General features: G+C 38.8%; 1 annotated feature.

The window, feature by feature from the left end:
* Positions 1,800 to 2,359: an enhancer, noted in NCBI's record as "OCT4-NANOG hESC enhancer chr18:66231510-66232069 (GRCh37/hg19 assembly coordinates)". NCBI's record gives its function as "activates a minimal SCP1, AML or CMV promoter by ChIP-STARR-seq in naive H9 embryonic stem cells {active_cell/tissue: H9 hESC(naive)}" and the evidence as "EXISTENCE:reporter gene assay evidence [ECO:0000049][PMID:30033119]".

Here is a 21,102-nt window from a genome sequence, read left to right as displayed (position 1 = left end):
CCCCGACCTCAAAGAATAGGGCAGTTAATGCTCCATGGGCTTAAAACTTTAACAACTGGGGTGCAGGAGTCAATGAATGAACATTTCCTCCTCTCTTCTCCCCACAAACAGAAACACATTTTTATAGCTTTGTAGAAAGTCTCAAGGAGGTGAGAAACCAGGCACTCATTAAGGTGCTTAATTTTTTTTTTTTTTTTTTTTGAGATGGAGTCTCACCCTGTCACCCAGACTGGAGTGCCGTGGTGCGATCTTGGCTCACTGCAACCTCCCCCTCCTGCTTCATGATTGTCCTGCCTTAGCCACCTGGGTAGCTGGGATTATAGGTGAACGCCACCATCCTGGCTGATGTTTGTATTTTTAGTAGACACAGGGTATAATCATGTTGGCCACGCTGGTCTTGAACTCCTGACTTCAGGTGATCCACCTGCCTTGGCCTCCCAGAGTGCTGGGATTACAGGTGTGAACCACTGCACCAGGCCAAAGGTGGCCAGTTTAATCATAAACTCCTCCCGGGTTTAAGTGATTCTCCAGCCTCAGCCTCCCGAGTATCTCGGACTACAGGCGCCCACCACCATGACCGGCTAATTTTTGTATTTTTAGTAGAGACAGGGTTTCACCATGCAGGTCAGGCTGGTCGCGAACTCCTCACCTCAGGTGATCCGCCCGTCTTGGCCTCTCAAAGTGTTGGAATTACAAGCATGACCCACCACGTCCTGCATGTTATTTTTATTTTAAAAGCTGCATATATATATATATAACATATATATATTTGAAAATACTGCTAACAGCATAACTGGGAGATAATAAATCCTTACAAGTCATTATTTCATTTATCATTTACAACAACCCCAAAAGTTACATAGAAAATTGCATCTTTTGATCTTTCAGGTAAAATGAAATAGGTTCAAGAGTATGAGTAGAAAATGTGACACAGAGATAGGAATTAGTCACATAATGTTGGAAAAAGAAGAAACAGTAACCAGGAACGGGAAGGAGTAAACAGAGCTTTTAGTTAAAACAGGATCACTGCCAGACACGATGGCTCATACCTGTAATCCCAGCACCTTGGGAGGCCGAGGTAGGTGGATCACGAGGTCAGGAGTTCAAGACCAGTCTGGCCAACACAGTGAAACCCCATCTCTACTAAAAATACAAAAATTAGCTGGGCGTGGTGGTGCGTGCCTGTAGTCCCAGCTACTCCGGAGGCTGAGGCAGGAGAATTGCTTGAACCCGGGAGGCGGAGGTTGCAGTGAACCGAGATCGCGCCATTGCACTTCAGCCTGGGTGACAAAGCGAGACTCCATCTCAAAAAGAAAAAAAAAAAAGAAAAAAACCCCACAGGAAACAGGATCACAATGTTAGAAGACAACCTAACATTTTGCAAATAAGCCGGTTTTCTCACTGTGTGTGGGAGTCTCAGGAATTCCTAGGTGATTGTAGAATCCCAAGGGAGGCAAGGCTCTCAAGTGGAAATAAATTGAAAGCAGTTGTAATTACAATGTTCCCTGACGTGTTACTGAGGAAGACAGCCAGTTGTATGTGAAGAGACTGGTAAATTATGTTCTGGTTGTGTTCAGTTCTTCAGTGTAAGTTTGATACCTCATGCTGCCTGGAATAGAAGAAGACCAAATGGAAAGGCTGTGTAACTCATGTGCCCAGAGAGGAAAAGTCAAACTCCCAAGTCCCTTCATCATCAATAGGAAGAATCAAAAAGCACAGGCTATCAAAGTTCAATTAGTATTTTTCATTAGCTTCCTTTGATTAGAGATCCTTTTTCTTCCATTATGAAGAAATTACAATTTTCTAATTCAGCACCTAAATTCAAGTCTATATTTTACACATTTTCTTGACTTACCACTTTTCATAGCTTTCTTCATTCATAGACACATTATAGATTGGGTCTTATTATTTACCATATGTGATGATTAATTTATGTGTCAACTTGACTGGGCTCTAGGGTACTTCAACATTTGGTGAAGCATTACCCTCAGTGTGTCTGAGAAGGTGTTTCTGAAACAGATTAGCATTTGAATGGGCAGACTGAGTAAACCAGATTGCCCTCCCCAGTGTGGGTGCATTTCATCTCACCAGCTGAAGGTCTAAATAAAAACAAAAGGCTGATTCCTGAGAGTAAGAGGGGATTTCTCCCACTTGAATGCCTTGAACTGACACATCATTTTGTTGTTGTTTCTGTTTCCTGCTTTTGACCTTGAACAAAGCTTTAGCTCTTCTTGAGTTTTGAACCTGTTTGTTTTTGGACTGGAACAATAACATTAGCTCTCCTGGTTCTTCAGCCTTCAGACTCAGATTGAAACTATGTTATTGGCTGTCCTGCACATCATTGCTGTCATTGGTCAGCCTTAGATAATAGGACTTCTCAGCCTTCATAATTGTGTGAGCCAATCCCTTATAATAAAAATCTTTCCATATAATATATTTGATGTGGTTTTCCTGTGTCCCCACCCAATCTTACTTTGAATTGTAATAATCCCCATGTGTCAAGGGCAGGGCCAGGTGGAGATAGCTGAATCATGGGGGCAGTTTCCCCCGTACTGTCCTCGTGATAGCGAATAAGTCTCAGGAGATCTGATGGTTTTATAAACGAGAGTTCCCCTGCAGAAGCTCTCTGGTCTGCCACATGTAAGACATGACTTTGTTCTTCCTTCATCTTCCACCATGATCGTGAGGCCTCTCCAGCCATGTGGAACTGTGAGTCTGTTAAACCTCCTTTTCTTTATAAATTACCCAGTCTCAGGTAAGTCTTTATTAGCAGTGTGAGAACAGACTAATACAATATTCATCCTATTGTTTCTTTTTCTCTGGAGAACCCTATTACACCAGATTTTTGTTTGTTGTTGTTGTTAGAAGTTAGGAATACAGCAATGGACAAGATGGCCAAGTCCCAAGCACTGCCGGAGTAGTGAGTATTATCAAATAATTACATACATTAAAAAATAGTTTAAATATGCTCTATGTGCTTAAAGGAATTCACATGTTAATTTTGTGTGTGTGTTCTTTTGAGGAGATAATGTATTTGAATTCTGGCATTTTTCTGAAGGATGAGGATATTTGAATATGTGTGAGATACTGAATATTCTGCACTACACATTTTCTATGTTGGAAATTTAATCCTGCTAATATAGTCTAAATTTCCCCAGTTTTGAATTTGATAGCAACATTCTAATCCTTACATTGACAGAGTAATTCCCTATTCTAATGAAAATTCAGATCTAATGGTCTTTTTTAAAATGATAATATTTCTCATTTACATTTTGAATGATATGGCACTAGAATGAACACAACTATTTAAAAAGATAAAAAAAAAAACCCTTCAAATTTCTATAAAACAAAGAGTTAGTCTGTAGTTCAAATTCCACTACTGACATGAATTAACTACCTAACCTTAGATTATTCACTTCTTTTGAACTTTTAATAATGGGGATTTACTCTCTTCTGGAGTTTTCTCTCTGACTCGAAAAGGTAGACTGAATCACTTCCTCCTTTGTGTATATATTTTTAAAATTTACTTTTATATATAGGCATGTCTCTTTCTCATGAAACTGTGTTTATGTGTCCTGACTACTCTGGGAAGGTTGTGGTTCCCCAAGGCAGCCACATTCACCATCATTCTCCTTTCCATCTCCAGTAACCAGCTGAGCCTGGCACACATTAGCAGTGTCAAAAATGCTGTTGAACTAAACTGAATGCTAAAGTCACTTTAAGTCCTAATGCTCTGTGATATTATAAATAACGAGACACTTCAATTTTATCATTCCTCATTCTTTCTGTAGAGACTGAGCTCCTTCAGATGGCTTTTGAATGTCGTGTTCTTCCTGACCCTTCTTTGTTTTATCTTTTTCGCACAGGTGGAACAGTCAGAATATAATTAACTAGACGCTTTTCATATGTAAATATCACAGTGACTACAATACCAAACTTCACTGGGTATCACAAGGAATGAATACTTTCTACATGAGGATTCAAAGATTAGATAAAATTAGTGTGACTTTCAGATTTCTTTTATTCTTTCCTGTGGACAATCATATCTCTTCTTTTACTTTTTCTTTTGAATAGACATTCTACTTAGTAGGGAATCTCTTTCCAGTCTACTGGCCCTTAGCATCTCCCCTTCCTGTGCTGTCTGAGGTGCCATATGCCAAACTTGATGAAAATGCTAATGGAACTTTCTTTGAGTTTGCCAAGTGATTCTTTCCTCCTCTGGGATCTCATATTCAAAACGAATATCCTGATGCAAATAACAGCAGGGGAAGGTTCAAGAATAAAGAAAAGCAACAAAGTTTTATCAGTTGCTGCCAACACTATAAGCCCAAATCAGCTTTACAGCAAAGCTAGCACTGATTTCCCAAAGTACAATGAATCATGGAGAAGATAGCATTGACTGTCTGCCAAGCACTAAGCACGATTCTGTGTATTCTACAGGTACTCATTCATTTAATCTTCAAAACAAACTTGTTTCTAAAAACACGATCATTGTCAACATTACATTAGGAAAGGAAGGCCGAAGAGAGGCTTAGCAACTTGTCAAAGGTGATGTCTCTAACAAGGAGCCTGACAAGGTTCAACTCCTGTCCGAGTGTCGATAATTAATTTATACAGCTCTTGCAAATGCATAAGCAATCTTTTATTCTCACAGGCCTCGTGTTGCAAGCCCATTGTCTATAAGCTGCTGCTTTACTCTACACTGTGTTTATTACACCCTAGGCTGATGGAACCTCCTCTGTGTAGGACATTGTCAGTCTTGTGTCAGATGGAAAAGGACTTCACAACTGTAAGCTGGCTCCTAAAGCATCTGCTCAGAAGTGACACAGATAAGTTTTGTCTACATTTTGTTGGCCAAAGCAAGTCACATGGATTCAACAGTTTGATCATATATAATTCTCCCTCAGGGTAGGGCCCACAAGCCATATAGCCAAGCTTGATATCAGGAGAAACACTCCTTGATATAATTTTTAAGTCACATACAATTTTAAGTGACATACCAAGCCCAATATCAATGCGGTAGAGAAGTAGGCTCCTCTTTCAGGGATGAAAAGTGTATATTTTAAATAGGAATATAATCTATCATTCTTGTGATACTCATAGGGATGAAGCAATATCTCATTGGGTATATTTTTACCTGTTTAAGCACTATTGGAATTTTGTCTTCTGTGAATCAGCCAGTAATATCATTTGCCCATTTCTCTATTGGTTTGCTTTCTTTCCTTATTGAAGATCAAAATTTTTTTGCTATTTTATGCATAACAAAAAGGGCTATTTTTTTTTTTTTTTTGAGATGGAGTCTCGCTCTGTCACCCACTCTGGAGTGCAGTGGCTCTATCTTGGTTCACTGCAAGCTCCGCCCTCCAGGTTCATGCCATTCTCCTGCCTCAGCCTCCTGAGTAGCTGGAACTACAGGTGCCTGCCACCACGCCTGGCTAATTTTTTGTATTTTTTGGTGGAGACAGGATTTCACCGTGTTAGCCAGGATGGTCTCAATCTCCTGACCTCGTGATCTGCCTGCCTCAGCCTCCCAAAAGGGCTATATTTTTTAAATGAAGATAATAATAAATTATAGGGCTACAGTAAGACATAGCTTAATAAATATTTTATAAACTTGATCATGCCTGAAATATAATAAATTCTCAATAAATATGAGCTATTATTTTTAAATATTGTCTGTATCATGAGTCAGCAAACTATAGTCTCTAGGCTAAATCTGTCCCTCTGCCTGATTTTGTAAATAAAGTTTTATTGAAACTCAGCTACACTAATTTATTTAGGTATTGTCTATGGCTGCTTGTGCTACAAAGGCCGAGTTGAATGTTTGGGACAGAGACTGAATGTCCCACAAAACCTAAAGTATTTACTATCTATCTCTTTACAGAAAAAGTTTGCCAATCTCTGATCTAGCTCAATGAATTAAATGGAGATAAAATGGCACCACCACTCCAGTAACCTTTAGGTCCAAACGCTGGTTCTAATCTTTACCCTAGACTCTACAATGCAACATTAATGTTTGATCTGCTATCTTGACTGCAGGGGTAAAGGTGATTTCAGAGGCTTTCAACTGGTCTTTCCTCCTGTGAGAATTCTTAGCCCACCAAACCAAGGACCCTGAAGGTTCTGCCAACTACTAATTATTTTCAATCCACTAGTAGAGTCCATGGCCCCAGAGGACCCAATGTGAGTTGGTCCTGGGCCAGAATTCTATAACGTGGCCCTCATATAACCTGCACTCTTTCAGAGAGGGATGTGATGATGCTTTGTGTTTCTAGTTATCAATGTATGAGTATTGTATGAGTAATGTATAAGTATTCCCCTTGTTCAGAATACATAGTTGCTGAGTAAATAGCCATAGGTCTTTTGGGGATGAGCTTGGGGAATTATTGCCTTATTCATTTACCGTGGTGTTTCAGGGTCCAACCTGCTTGCAATCCAGCTTCTCTTTCCAAGAAATGGGCTCCATGAAAACTGTCTTATGTCCTAAAACTAGCCAAAAGTTTGTGATCTTTCTTGGGGATGACTGCTCTCAACTCCTAATCACCCATTCTTGAATTAGTTTGATTGTATAGATAGAACAGTATTCTTATCTGATGCCCATACATCTTGCTCCTGGGAAAGTCATCTTCTGTTAACTATTCACATAACTCCCATGCTCAGGTACCATTTTGGCTGCTCATTATGATAACTGCCCCCATGAAGGTCCTCTGCCTTGCCTTTCTTATTCGAGGTTTCTATTATTCCCATTGCTATCAGGGAGCACATTTCTGTAAGAGCCTCTCCTGCCATCATCCCAGGTCTATAGAAGATAGCTATCACTTGATAATGATACTGGTAAGATAGACATTCCTTATTGTTCTGATAAACTGAGATCAGCCTTCCTTATTTCTTTGATATGTAGAGTTTCAGGCAGGTCCTCCTGAGAAGCAGAGTAGGCAGGGGTACTGGATCTCAGATATAGAACCAATTTAGCAAATCCTCTTTTATAAATCATTTGCAGTCATCCTGTAGAGTATGCCATTGTTGTTCTATTTTAACTACAGTTGATATGAAGCATCACTTTTTCTAAGCTTCAAAGTTACCCAGTGGTAATATTAGAATGGCCTCCTGGGACTCCTACTAGGGGATTAAATCCTATCTTCTGGGAGTGTTCCCAGATTGAGAATTCTCATATCCATCTCTATGCTCTTCTTCTATTGATCCACCACCATCGGATTCATTCCAGCTGCACACAGTTCCTGGGGTTCATGTTAGCCTTGTCCTGTGGCTCCTTTGGCCTGTGGCCCCAACTACTCCTCAGGACACCCAGCAGTTCTCTTGTCAGTTATTGATCTGGTGGCCGGAAGAGAAGGGCTGACCTGGAGATGGGGTTGTTGGGGAAATATAATTAAAACACAATTTCCTTTGAACGTAGAAAACCTCTCCATAGAAGTAGAAAAGAAAGAAAACAGTTTCATTATTGAATAATCATTAAACCATAATGTGATGCGCATTACAGGAAATCTGCTAAGAGATTGCAAAACCAGAAAGACATCTCACCCTTTGATATAGCAGGCAAACACAACACATTACGCTCAAGTTTTCAAGATATATAATAATTAGCCCTCAAGTAAAAGGACTTGGCACTACCATTTGTCACATGTCGTTCATCCTAAGCTTATCTGGTAATTAGGGTGGCCATCTGTGTTTGCTAATTGACTTTGTCCAAAGGAAACATAAATGTCTCACATCTTTCTGACTAGAGGTATTGTAGTTTTGCAACTTGGAGCAAGGTGCCATGAAGTTAGGTTTCCTACCTTCTTTAGAAACTGGGTGCTAGGGCTGCTGTCTTCCCTCATGGTCACATTTCAAAGGGTTGATTCCCAGGTTCTTAAAAAAGACATTCCTGGGTTATAAAGTGGGCAAGAGGCTTATTTAGCTTTTTAAAAGATTTACATATATTTCAAAGAGAAAACTTAACACATGTTCTAAAGTCAAAGCTCTAAAAAAAGGGGGTGGGGGAGTCTTTTCCCTTATTTTAACAGCCAGAATTAAGCCTCTTATTTTTAATATGTGTTTGCCCTTAAGGGTCATATATTTACCGGCAAGAAAGTCATTTTCTTCAAGAAATAGGGGTAGGAGGGGTGGCATTCTCCTTAAATCCAAAGCAGTTGGCTAATTCTGCAGGCCTAGAGGCTCATAGAAATCGGCGAATTCACATTTTCAGGTGCATTAACTCGTGCTGCAGCTCTTATTTCATGCTGCCACTTCTAATCACTCAGTGTTCTGACTTTCATCTGGAAGACCTTCCGAGCTGAGAATCCAACATTTTCTCCACTTCTGCTGCTCTTGTGATTAAGTCCTGGGCCTGAGCCTTTTCTGTTCTCAAATGTTGCTAACAAAACCCCTGGACTTACACCTTGAGCCTCAGACTTTCATTGTCTTTTCCCACAGGTTACTTTCAGCTACAGTCATCCAAGTCCATTCTCCTTACAATTACTGTTCCTCATCCTTGACATGAAATTCATGTGTGTGTGTGTATTACATATATATGAAGTGGGTTTTTTCTGGTTGTCATATGTTTGTTTTAGTGATGGGGTCCCCTATGTTGCCCAGGCTGGAGTACAGTGGCTATTCACAGGTATGATCATGGCACACTACAGCTTCAAACTCCTGGGCTCAAGACCCTCCTGCCTCAGCCGCTTGAGTAGCTGGAAGTACAGATGCATTCCACTGTGCCCAGTTATATATATATATAATTTTATGTCACGAGTCTTTTTTGTATCATTTTGAAGCGCCGTGATGAAATTAGACAATAGTATTGATACAGAACAGCTGGGCTCCTGGCTAAACATCCACCCTTAAGCCTGGAACCTGGTTCTAAGTGAAAACAGCTGACCCCATTTTTCCACCCATATGTTGCTTTTTTGACCTGCCATGCCTCTATCTTGTGCCCATTCACACTACCTAAAAGACTTTAGCTAGCAGAGGGATACAAGCTGCTAAGCAGTAGGCAGAGAAGCAGCAACTTAGCATCAGAGACTACAGATAGATGCGGCTAACTTCAGACAGTATGTCTTCAGGGATAGATCACCTTCTTCCTACACCATCCCCTTTCCAATTCCCCACCCCTCTGATAGCCACTTTTATCACCCATTAAAATCCTCTGCATACACTACCCTTCAATCCATTTGTGCGACCTGATTCTTCCTGGAGGCCAGACAAGAACCTGAGTGCCAAGAGGGCAGGAGCTTGGACACTGCTGCAGAGCCTGCATAGAGCCTGCTCCTGCCAGAAAGGAGTGACTGGCCGGTTTCAGTGTTCCTTCCCTCTGGTTCCTGCACTCGCTTACATGCTCCCTCTCACGAGGAGAGTGGCCAGCGGTGGGCTGAGTGAAGTTAGCCACTCCAGTTCCCCTCTCAATATGGTTTATATTTACAAAACTGTTTTAGCAGCAAGAGTTTTTAAAGCAGACACAAATTTAATAAAATATTTAGTCTGGCAAATTTACAAAATGAAAACTCTATAATACTAATTGCTTCTGTTTGCATGGATCCATTTGTTTAACAAATCTTAAAGCTGCTGCACAGACATTCTTTAAACCCACTTTTAAATTTTTGGAAAAGTCCTATTTTCTTTTTCTTTTTTCTTTTTTTTTTGAGACAGAGTTTCACTCTTGTCCAGGTTTGAGTGCAGCGGTGCGATCTCGGCTCACTGCAACCTCCACTTCCTGGGTTCAAGTGATTCTCCTGCCTCAGCCTCCTGAGTAGCTGGAACTACAGGCACCCGCCACCTCGCCAAGCTAATTTTTTTTTTTTTTTTTAATTTTTAGTAGAGATGGAGTCTTGCCATGTTGGGCAGGCTGGTCTCAAACATCTGACCTCAGGTGATTCGCCCGCCTCGGCCTCCCCAAGTGCTGGGATTACAGGCATGAGCCACCACACCTGGCTGAAAAGTTCTATTTTTCAAGCATAGTCAGTGTTTATGATAATTTAATCTGTTGAATTAAGAACAATAGTATTTGCTAGTATATAATTTTTAGAGAAAAAAAATCAAATTCTGATGTTTTAAACCATGATACATTTGTTCTCTATATTCACACTACCCAAAAAGTATGAATAAACATCCAAAAGACTATATAATTATCTTGTTTTGCTAACATTATTTTAAACTCTGGAAAGCAACAATTTTTAAAATACCCTTTAATAACTATCATAGTGCCATACCTAAGAGTTGCTATATTTCTCTATATAAATCTACATCCATAGCTGTATCTACATCTACACATATACATAAGGTGAGTTAATGAATAAAACACTGTAAGACAAGTGCTCTTTCCTCCCTTGGTTTTCACTAGCCCCACATCAACAATGCCAAATCCTTTCACAAGACTTAGATACTATCAGAGGCATGTGAACCAAAGTGACTCCATCTTGAACAGGGGCTGGGTAAAATAAGGATGAGACCTGCTAGGGTGCATTTCCAGGAGGTTAGGCATTCTTAGTCACAGGATGAGATAGGAGGTCACAAGTTACAGGTCATAAAGACCTTGCTGATGAATCAGGATGCTGTAATGAAACCAGCCAAAACCCACCAAACCAAGATGGCAATGAAAGCTACATCAGGTCATCCTCACTGCTCATTAAATGCTAATTGTAATGTATTAGCATGCTAAGAGACACTCCCATCAGCACCATGACAGTTTACAAATGCTACTGCAATGCCCAGAAGTTACCCTATATGGTCTAAAAAAGGGAGGAACCTTCAGTTCTGGGAATTTCCCACCTGTTTCCTGGAAAACTCACGAACAATCCACCAATTGTTTAGCATGTAATCAAGAAATAACCATAGAAATAGCCAACCAGCAACCCTCACGACTGCTCTGCCTATGGAGTAGCCATTCTTTTGTTTCTTTCTTTACTTTCTTAATAAACTTGCTTTCACTTTCCTCTATAGACTTGCCCCAAATCCTTTCTTGTGCCAGATTCAAGAACCTTCTTTTGGGGTCTGGATCAGGACCCTTTTCCGGTAGCAAATCTTTTCCTAGGTCAATTAATAAAAAGAATATTGTCTTGCAATTACATTTGTAGCTTGGATTGATATAATAATTTTCTTCTAAAGAAACTTTTTATACTTTTTGAAATATTATCTGATTTATCTTTCCAATATCACTAGAGGGCCAGAGTTAATGTTATTATTCCTGTCTCATATGTTCAAAAATATATATCACAATGTATAAGAATAAGTTGCTGGGAATCACAGATCATCAACAGATGAAGCAGATTTATAATTTAAATTAGGAAGGATAAAGGAATTTTCCATGTACTGAAATCAAGCTTATCTTTACTGTTATTTTCTACCCTGGTCTGGTGTTCAGCTGTGTGCGCACATCTTTCCTCAGAGAATTTAGCCTTTGACCCTATCCACACTCTCTTCCTCCCTTGTTTGCTTTCAATCTGCCTCTTGATATAAAAATAAGTAATAAAGCAAAGTTTTGTCTTTCAGGAGAACTAGCTGTGCATTAAATATCAGCAAAGACAGACCTGTCATACTTTGGGGGCTGCATTTTAGTTCAAGTATTCTCTGTCAGTATTGGGGTAACTCCATCAAGCGTAAGATAAGATTGGACCATTATCTGAGAACTAGAGGAGAAAAAATTGTCAAGGTAATGAAAAATGTCATAGGGGTTTATACTAGCAAGTTTTCCTGGGCATCTGCTTCTTTGTCACCAACCCAGCCTCTCAAATCCTAGGTCCTGCTGTAGAGGAGCAGCTACCCTAAATAGCAGTAACTACCACTCACTTACTACATGGTCTTCTGTGTTTTATCTTTGAATTTTCCACATGACATCCATACATTTACTATGAAAAATACATGGATATAGGTAAATGCTAAAGTTGTGAGGTCAGAGGCCATTTTTAAATGTCTTGAAGATTAAGAGGTAAAAATGAGATAGAAAACGTTCTTAAGACCTGTTAGAAATAGAAAAATGGGGAGGAACAGCTGACTGGGTGGACCAGTAGGGTTCAGAAGCTCTTTTTGTTTTTAACAAGGAAATGAGTAGAGATTGTTCAAATGCATATGCATTTGCAAACATTAGATTACAGTTATTTTTCTCTATAAAAGTAAACTATAGTTGTGATTCATTTTCTGTAGTTCTCTTGGACCTGAGCATAGCTATTGGCTGCTCCTCTCTTGAGAACTTTGATTTTCAGAGAAGAAAGCATTTGGGAACGTAAACACTTCTTTTTTTTTTTTTTTTTTTTTTTTTTTGAGACGGAGTCTCGCTCTGTCGCCCAGGCCGGACCGCGGACTGCAGTGGCGCAATCTCGGCTCACTGCAAGCTCCGCTTCCCGGGTTCACGCCATTCTCCTGCCTCAGCCTCCCCAGTAGCTGGGACTACAGGCGCCCGCCACCGCGCCCGGCTAATTTTTTGTATTTTTAGTAGAGACGGGGTTTCACCTTGTTAGCCAGGATGGTCTCGATCTCCTGACCTCATGATCCACCCGCCTCGGCCTCCCAAAGTGCTGGGATTACAGGCGTGAGCCACCGCGCCCGGCCAACACTTTTTAATAATAAAGAGATTGTACTAACGAAACTCATTTGCCTTGCAACAAAGATAACTAGACTAATCCTCAATAGTATTGACAATTATACACATTTCTTGCCCTCTTATTCTTGACTTGGGTTGAAAAAGTTAGCAGACTACTTAAAAATGCCCTACTCAGGCCCCAGGAGGTAAGACCCTCCTTCTTTGTCTGGGCTGTGAATATGGATAGATACATACACTATATGTATCTTATAACTAAATATATATAATATTTTTGTAATGAATAAATAAGAATGATAATATCATAAGCAAAGATTGCCATTTGAAGCAAGAAATATAAAAAGAAATCAATGCCTTTCTGTCTTAGAGAAAAAAATATATTTCCTTTTCTCTGTCTTTTTTTTTTTTTTTTTTTTGAGACAGAATCTCGTACTGTCGCCCAAACTGGAGTGCAGTGATCTCAGCTCACTGCAACCTCCGCCTCCCGGGTTCAAGCAACTCTTCTGCCTCAGCCTCCTGAGTAGCTGGGACTACAGGCATGCGCCACCACGCCCAGCTAATTTGTGTATTTTTGGTAGAGACGGGGTTTCACAATGTTGGCCAGGAAGGTCTTGATCTCTTGACCTCATGATCTGCCTGCCCCAGCCTCCCAAAATGCTGGGATTACAGGCGTGAGCCACCAGCACCTGGCTGAAAAAAAAAAAAAAACATTTCTAAGGGAATTTTGCCCTAAAATTTAAACTTAATAAGCAGTAACATTATCCTCATTAAACTTATTCTTTAAGTTTGAAGAGAGAAAAATACTATTTCTAAATGACCACGTGAATGTTGTTTCTACTTATACAAGGGATAGATTCTGAGTCTTCAAATCTAAGACAGATTATATAATGATTAAGGGTATTGTTTTAGTTAATTATAACAAACAATAAGAGTTTAATTACAACATTCTGTCTTTCTAGTGCTAAGTATTTTGGCCATCTCAGAATATTCTCAGAATTAGATTTTTTTTTGTGAGTTAGTAGAGATGATTTGACACAATCATACACCAAAGACATACTGCTGAAATTCCAAAAATGTAGTGACTCATAATTATTATTGCTTATTGTATTTGATTATATCTTGTCTTCCAAATTTCCAGAGGTCAAAAATTACATCATGTACCTGATTTTCCTCCTTATATTCTCCTGAAAGTATATTCTGAAAAATTTACTACTCATCTCTCAATTACCACACCCAATTACCTTTTATATATGTTTAATTTTTTTAGCCTCTCAGGGACATTGGACATTGATGTTACCTCTTCTCTTCTAGGCAGTACTTTACCATCCTTAACACTGTTATTCTCTTATCTCCCTGAACTCTCCTCTGTCTTCCTAATTGCCTTCTTTTTCTGTTTCCATATCCTAAATGTGAGTGTTCTTCAGGGTTTAGTTCTAGAACTTATCACACATCTAGAAGAGTCTATCCTGTGCATGCAACCTTATGGGTGAATAAAACACACCTTTAGCTCAAGAAACTTATGGCATGGTAGGGAAAGAATTCATGCCCAATGTACAAAGTTGAATTCAAACATCCTAGTCTTAGTTCAAGATTCTCCTGAAATTGACTCTTTTTCTAACTAAACTTACTTACTTACTATTCTGCAAAAATGGATTGGTTTATGCTGTTGGCATTTTATTTGCTTAGGATGGATGTTCAGTCTCATTCGTCCTTCCAAATGCTGTGTCTCTGGAGTTTATTTGATCTGCCCAGGTGATCTCAGAAAGCAGGTATTCAGGAAGGGGCAGGGTTTTGAATTAGGTACAGGCACCACTGTGGGCACGTGTTAACGTAAATGACCAAGATGTAGGCGCTCGTGGGCAAGAGGCTTGGGAATTAGAATGACGATTCCACCACTTGTCACTGGGCAGATTTAACCAGTTTATTTTTATCTTTTCTGTGCTTATTTTATTTACCTGAAATAATCCTTAATTAAAGTGATTATTTCGACAGTTAAATTAAGAAATATATTCTTTTCCCCGGTTTGAGTAGTCATATCTTGCTCTAATTCTGGAAAATTCTCAGCCAAATATTGACTCTATTTTATATTCTCAATTCTTTCATTTTTGGAATTCTTCTTAAATATTGAGGCTTTTTGATCTATCATATTTCTCTAATCTTTGACATTTTTCATATTTTTTCTTATTTCTGTGTGTGGCATTCTGGTATTTTTTTTCAGTCTAAATTCTTAGATCTGTACTCTCTCTTTAACTATATCTAGACTATGTACAATCCACCTGTTATCATTTTTGGTTTCAATAAGAAAGTTATGTTTTGATAACTTTGTTATCAAGTTTGATGGCAATTATGCTAAGAATTGAGCTATAGTTATAAAATATTTTTATTATTATAGTTTTTAAGTTTTAATCACATAAAGATAATTGGAATTTATATAGATATCATCTGAGATATAGAATAAGAAAATTACAAAACATTCAACAAAAGAAGGGGATGATAAATGATGTAAAGTGTAGTGAAAAGAGCATGGACTTAAGTTAGAACACCTGGTGTGTAATTCTTGCTAGGCCACTACAGTAGTCAGCTTCCAAGATGACCCCCAGTGATCTTCACCCCCAGGTATTCAAATCCTCTTGTGAAGGATTTGAACTCATGAAGCAATTGAATTCATGAAGACAGAGTAGAATGACGGTTACTTCCATTTATCAAAATTGATCTGTGTTTCCCATAGAATACATCAGATATAACTGTATACCTCTTCTAAAATTAGGTTACAAGTGACATTTCAGGTTTTCTCTTTCTTCCTCTCCTCATTCCCTTCCTCCTCTTCCTCTTTCTTTCTCTTTCTCTGTCTCAGATCATTTGCTTTGAGGAAATCCAGCTGGCCACATGGTGAGGCTTGGAGGCCACTGGCCAACAGCCACTTAGCGATCTTGGAATCAGATGCTCCAGCCCAGTCAACCCTTCAGATGGCTGCAGCCCTGACCGATGTATGAACTACAACCTTGTGGGAGACCGAGAACCAGAACTAAGATGTTCCTGGAGGCCTGACCCTCAAAAAATTTTGTGAGATAATAACTATTTGTTACTTTTAGTGTCTAAGCTTTTGTTATAGAGCAATAGATAACCAGTACAGCCAGTAATTAAATATGGGTCCTTTGGCAAATAAATGAACCTCCGAAGACCTCCATTCTTTCATTTACTATGTGAGAGCCTTGGTTTTGTTCAGGTATGGGACACTTAGCATTGAATTTTTTAATTTGTGTGGGTACACAGTAGGTGCGTATATTTATGGAATACATAAAATATTTTGATACAGGCATATAATGTGTAGTGATTGCATCAGGGTAAATGTGGCATTAATCATCTCAAGCATTCATCATGTCTTTGTGTTACAAACATTTCAGTTATACTCTTTTATTTATGTTTAAGTATACAATAAATTATTGTTGGCTGTAGTCACCCTGTTGTGCTATCAAATACTAGATCTTCTTCATTCTATCTAATTATATTTTTGTACCCATTAACTATCCCACTTTCTCCACCCACTACTACCGTTACCAGCCTCTAGTAACCATCATTCTACTCTGTCTTCATGAGTTCAATTGCTTTAATTTTTAGCTTCTGCAAATGACTGAGATCATCCAAAGTGTGTCCTTCTGTGCGTGGCTTATTTCATGCAACATAAGGTCCTCAGTTCTAACTGCAGTCCCATGTTTATTGCAACACTATACACTTAACATTTAAATCACTCTCATGGGAGAAAATGTCAGGGCATATATAGTTCTGTCTGTGTAAAAAAGTTAAGGCAAAATGAAAGAAGGCAAGAATAAAAAGAGAAAATATTCCAAGAGTCAGGGGGCATGGTCCTAGTTGATAAAAGGCACTGAATGATGTTCCAGTGTTTCAACTGGAGCTGGATGCTTCTCTCAACACATCCAAAAACACTCATAAGTACAGTGGAGTTTACTTATGTCACAATGCCTACAGCAGAATATGAGAATTTCAGTGTACTACTGACATTCACCTGAACACTTCAGATGAGCAGGTAAGAATTCCCCTGTCATCCCAGCAGTTTGGGAGGCGGAGGCAGGCGGATCACGAGGTCAGGAGATCGAGACTATCTTGGCTAACATGGTGAAACCCCATCTCTACTAAAAATACAAAACATTAGCTGGGCGTGGTGGCAGGCACCTGTAGGCCCAGCTGCTCAGGAGGCTGAGGCAGGAGAATGGCGTGAACCTGGGAGGTGGAGCTTGCGGTGAGCCGAGCGCCATGCACTCCAGCCTGGGCGACAGAGCCAGACTCGGTGTCAAAACAAAACAAAACAAAACAAAACAAAAAAAAGAAATCTCCAGTCTACATACAGACAAGTTATACAAACTTTGCAGATACATCTATGGTTTCATTGTAGTTTTTTGTCTTTTTGTAATACTCAGCAAATATTTATTCCATATATACTATGTATCAGTCACAGCAAGTGTTCGATTGTGGCAAATAGGTGGTTCCTTTCCCCAGAAAGTGTTTCTTTTCCTTTACATGTTAAGTAGAAGACTGGAATTAAATTACTCTGAAAATTACAAAAAACCACTCAACCAACATGATGGGTATGGTATAAACAGGCTGATTCTGAAGCAAATAGTTTCTGAATTTTGTTTATTTCCAACTGGAAGTGGGCTGAGAGCCAAGGCAAGTCTATATTTATTTTAGAGATAGTTGAAATTTTTCTTGGTTGCATTCATTTTTCAGGGAGAAACGTTCCCATACTCTGATTTTCTTATTCTGAAAATGTCTGGGGAAGAATTGTGCCAACAGTTAAAGATAATGTAAGTAATTATTACTATAATTATTATCATCAGGATAATCCTAGCTAATGTCTGCAGTCCCTCAGTTACTCTTTGAGAATGCAAACATCCTCTTGACAATACCTATAGCCATCCACTAAGAAGGCAATTTTCTTCTAAGTCTTGTTCTCTTTATGTCTGTCCTACATGCCTATGGATAAGCAATATTTCCACACTTCATAAATTCCTCCAATGAAAATAAGTAATGTGTGTCATTATCTCCCATGAAAACGGTCAATCATTCCTGATCCCATCAGTGTTGAGTGTTGAAGTTGCTTTGAGCCATGATATTTCAAAAAGAAATACTATTTATTTAGTTTTACACATTTTATTTTTTGAAAAGGATCAAGTCTTAGTGAATCCAATGGGACTGAGTTTAGCTTTCCTTTTGGTAAAGCACAGGCTTGAATCGCTGGAGTAACACACGTGAGTTGCCATCAAATCAGTCCAAATCAGTCCAAATCAGTCTTTCGGTTAGAGCCCATATGTAGGTGCCAGTGTTGTGCCGTGAGCATAGACAGGTTGGTGCCTGGGAGACTTCTCATCCTCTTTAAACCTTGGAGTTCAGATAAAAGATGAGGTATTGGTAGAAAAACAAGAAATATTTTTCTCTTATATTTCTAAGATGTTAGATGTGCCTGTTTCTAATACATCATCAAATAAGTTAAAGAAATGTATTTTTTACTTGAAAGCCATGAACATACGGGAAGATATCCATTTGTAGTGCAAAATACAATAAAATTATTGAAACCAAAACAAGATACTCTTCACGTATATTTGTTTTGTGGACAATACACATAACACCGAGTTTCTCCTTCCTATTTTTTTGTAACTCTCTTTGTTTCTCCTTCCAAAAACAAAAAACAAAAAACAAACAAACAAAAACAAAAACAAAAAAACAAAAAACACAACCTCTCAAACTACAGTTAGTTTCCCACAGGGTGATATTTGGCTCTAACATTTAATCTATGATGTTTTCAGGTAAGGCAGGTGAGAAAGGCTTAATTAATGTATCTCTGTATATGAATTTAACACCTAAAGGAGCACATAAACTATTTTTATTAAATTACATAAACTGTTATGATATGGCGTTCCATTCCAAACTCTCAAGCACATTTACTGAAATTTCTCATCTTAAGATCTCCTCTTATCTTTCTCATTTATTTACCCAAACCTCAGGAGGAAAGATTTCCATACAGGGGAGAGCGATGTTTGAAAGAGGGACATTTGACAAGGTTAAAAAAAATTGACAATGGTAGGCAAGTCAGTCAAGACTCGCAACTTCATATGCCGTTAGGGGATTGCAAATGTAAGCAATGACATATCACTACACACCGGTTAGTATGGCCTGAATCCAAAACACCGACAACACAAAATATTGACAAGAAGTTGAAAATATGTGACCACAATTAGAAATTAATTAGAATTAATTAGAAACCTGTACACAGATGTTTATTTCAGCTTTAATTATAATTGCCAAAATGTGGAAACAACCAAGATGTCCTATAATAGGTGAATGCATAGATAAATTGTGGTAATTCTGTAATGGAATATTATTCTGTCCTAAAAACAAGTGAGTTATCAAGCCATGAAAAGAAATGGAGAAACCTTAAATGCATATTGGTAGGTGAAAGAAGCTGTTCTGGAATGTCTGTATGATTCCAACTATAGTTTCTTACATAATATGTGTTACCAATTAACACTCTTATCCATAGTGTATAAAAATGTTTGGCTCCTTATGTTCACTTTATCATTGTTCTAAAAAAAACCATTTTTTAATTGAGAGATTATATTTTATTTTGGATTTTAAAATACCTGAGTTATTTTATTATTGTAATACTTCAAGAATTTGGAGTATGATACAGCATTTTCTTATCTGCCCACTTTTTAGACTTTATCAGAAGTAATATTTTTTCATGTTGATTTACATAGTGTTTTCTTTAAAAATAAAATGTTACTAATACAACTGGAACCTTATCCTCTAATTCTTTTTCTTTTTCTTGCTTCCAGGAGAAACCATTCTCTGAGGTGGGGGTATATCATTCTCACTGGCATTTTTATTTTTAGATTTTTAAAAATAACAAATGCCATTAAAGGCTTTACTTTTTCATGTAAAATATGTTTACATTTACCTTCATTTTAAACAATATATTTATATTTGTTGCTCATTTTTTCTTTTGCTTTCTAGTTCATTTTTAAGTAAGGAAATAATTATATAAAAATATACAAAGATATTATCAAGAACTCAGTGCTATCTGCTACTTTTTCAATATTTTCCAGTTGAGGTATATTTAAAGAGGAAAGAGAGAGAGAGAGAGATTGAGATTGAGAGAGCGCTAGCTGATCTGATGGCACTTCAGGCATGTACACAAAGTGCTGCAGATACATTCATCTGAGGCAGACTTTAAGTGATTTCTAAGTTTCGAGAGATTCAAACCACATCTATACCATGTTTTCAAACTTTTACATGCATAGGCATCACCTGGAGAAGTAGCTGAAGCACAATTCCTCAGCCCCATCCCCTGAGATTCTGATGAAGTAGGTCAGCACGGCACCCATTTATTTACATATCTCACAAGCTCAGGGGGAGTCCAATGCCACCTGTGAGGACCACGCTTTGCAAATCAGTGATGTGCACAATGCTTAAAATAAATCCAGAATCAAAATACTATCCTGATATTATTTTCCCCAAGATTTTGTTTGTTTTACATCAGTTACAATAGACTCCTGTCTTCCAGTGTCAGATCTCATGCCTCTGTGTGGATGGCTCAAAGTAATTCTTTATTCAGTGTGAAACAGATATTTTGAACTCTGTCTGAAAGGTCACTTATCTCTGTCATTCCAGGATAGGGTCATGGGTGCCTTATTTAGTTCATTTGGTGGGGTCATGTTTTCCTGGATAGTCTTGATACTTGCAGATGTTTATCAATGTCTAGGTATTAAAGAGTGAGGTATTATTGTAGTCATCACACTCTGGGCTTATTTGTATTCATCCTTCTTGGGAAGGCTTTCCAAGTATTCAAAGGGAATTGAATGTTATGATCTAAATCTTTGTTCAGTGAAGCTCTATCTGCATTATGGCACCTCAAGCCCAGTAATGATGTGACTCTTGCAGACTCATAGTGATACTGCCTTGGTGATCTTGGGTAAGATCTGAGAGAATTCCCAGGGTTACCAGGACAGACTCTGTTCTATTCCCTTACTTTCCGCCAAACAAACTAAATCTCTCTTTCTCGGTGCTGAGTTGCCTGGAGCTGGGAGAGGGATGACACAAGCCCCTCTGTGGCCACCACCACTGGGACTGTGGTAGTTCAGACCTGAAGCCAGCACAGCACTGGCTCTTACTCCAGACCCATGACAACCACTGCCTGGCTACCACAAATATTCATTCAGGGCCCAAGAGCTCTTTAATCAGCGTGTGGCAAATCCAGCCAGACTTGTGTCCTTCCCTTCAGGGCAATGAGCTCCCCTAGACCCTGAGTGGGTCCAGGAATGCCGTCTGGGATCCAGGGCCTGGATTTGGGAAATTTACGAATCTGCTTGGTATTCTATTCTACTGTGGCTGAGCTGGCACCCAAGCCACAAAACAAAGTCCTTCCCACTCTTGTCTCTTCTTTCTTCAAGCAGGAGGAGTTTCTCCATATGGCCACCATAGCTGGGAATGTGCTGGGTCACACTTGAAGTCAGCATGGCCCTGGGTCTTACCCAAGGCCCATGGCTACTACTACCTGG

The sequence above is a fragment of the Homo sapiens genome, chromosome 18 (genome assembly GCF_000001405.40).
Source record: "Homo sapiens chromosome 18, GRCh38.p14 Primary Assembly".
In the NCBI taxonomy this organism is placed as follows: Eukaryota; Metazoa; Chordata; class Mammalia; order Primates; family Hominidae; genus Homo; species Homo sapiens.
This window is presented reverse-complemented; position numbering and strand designations above follow the sequence as displayed.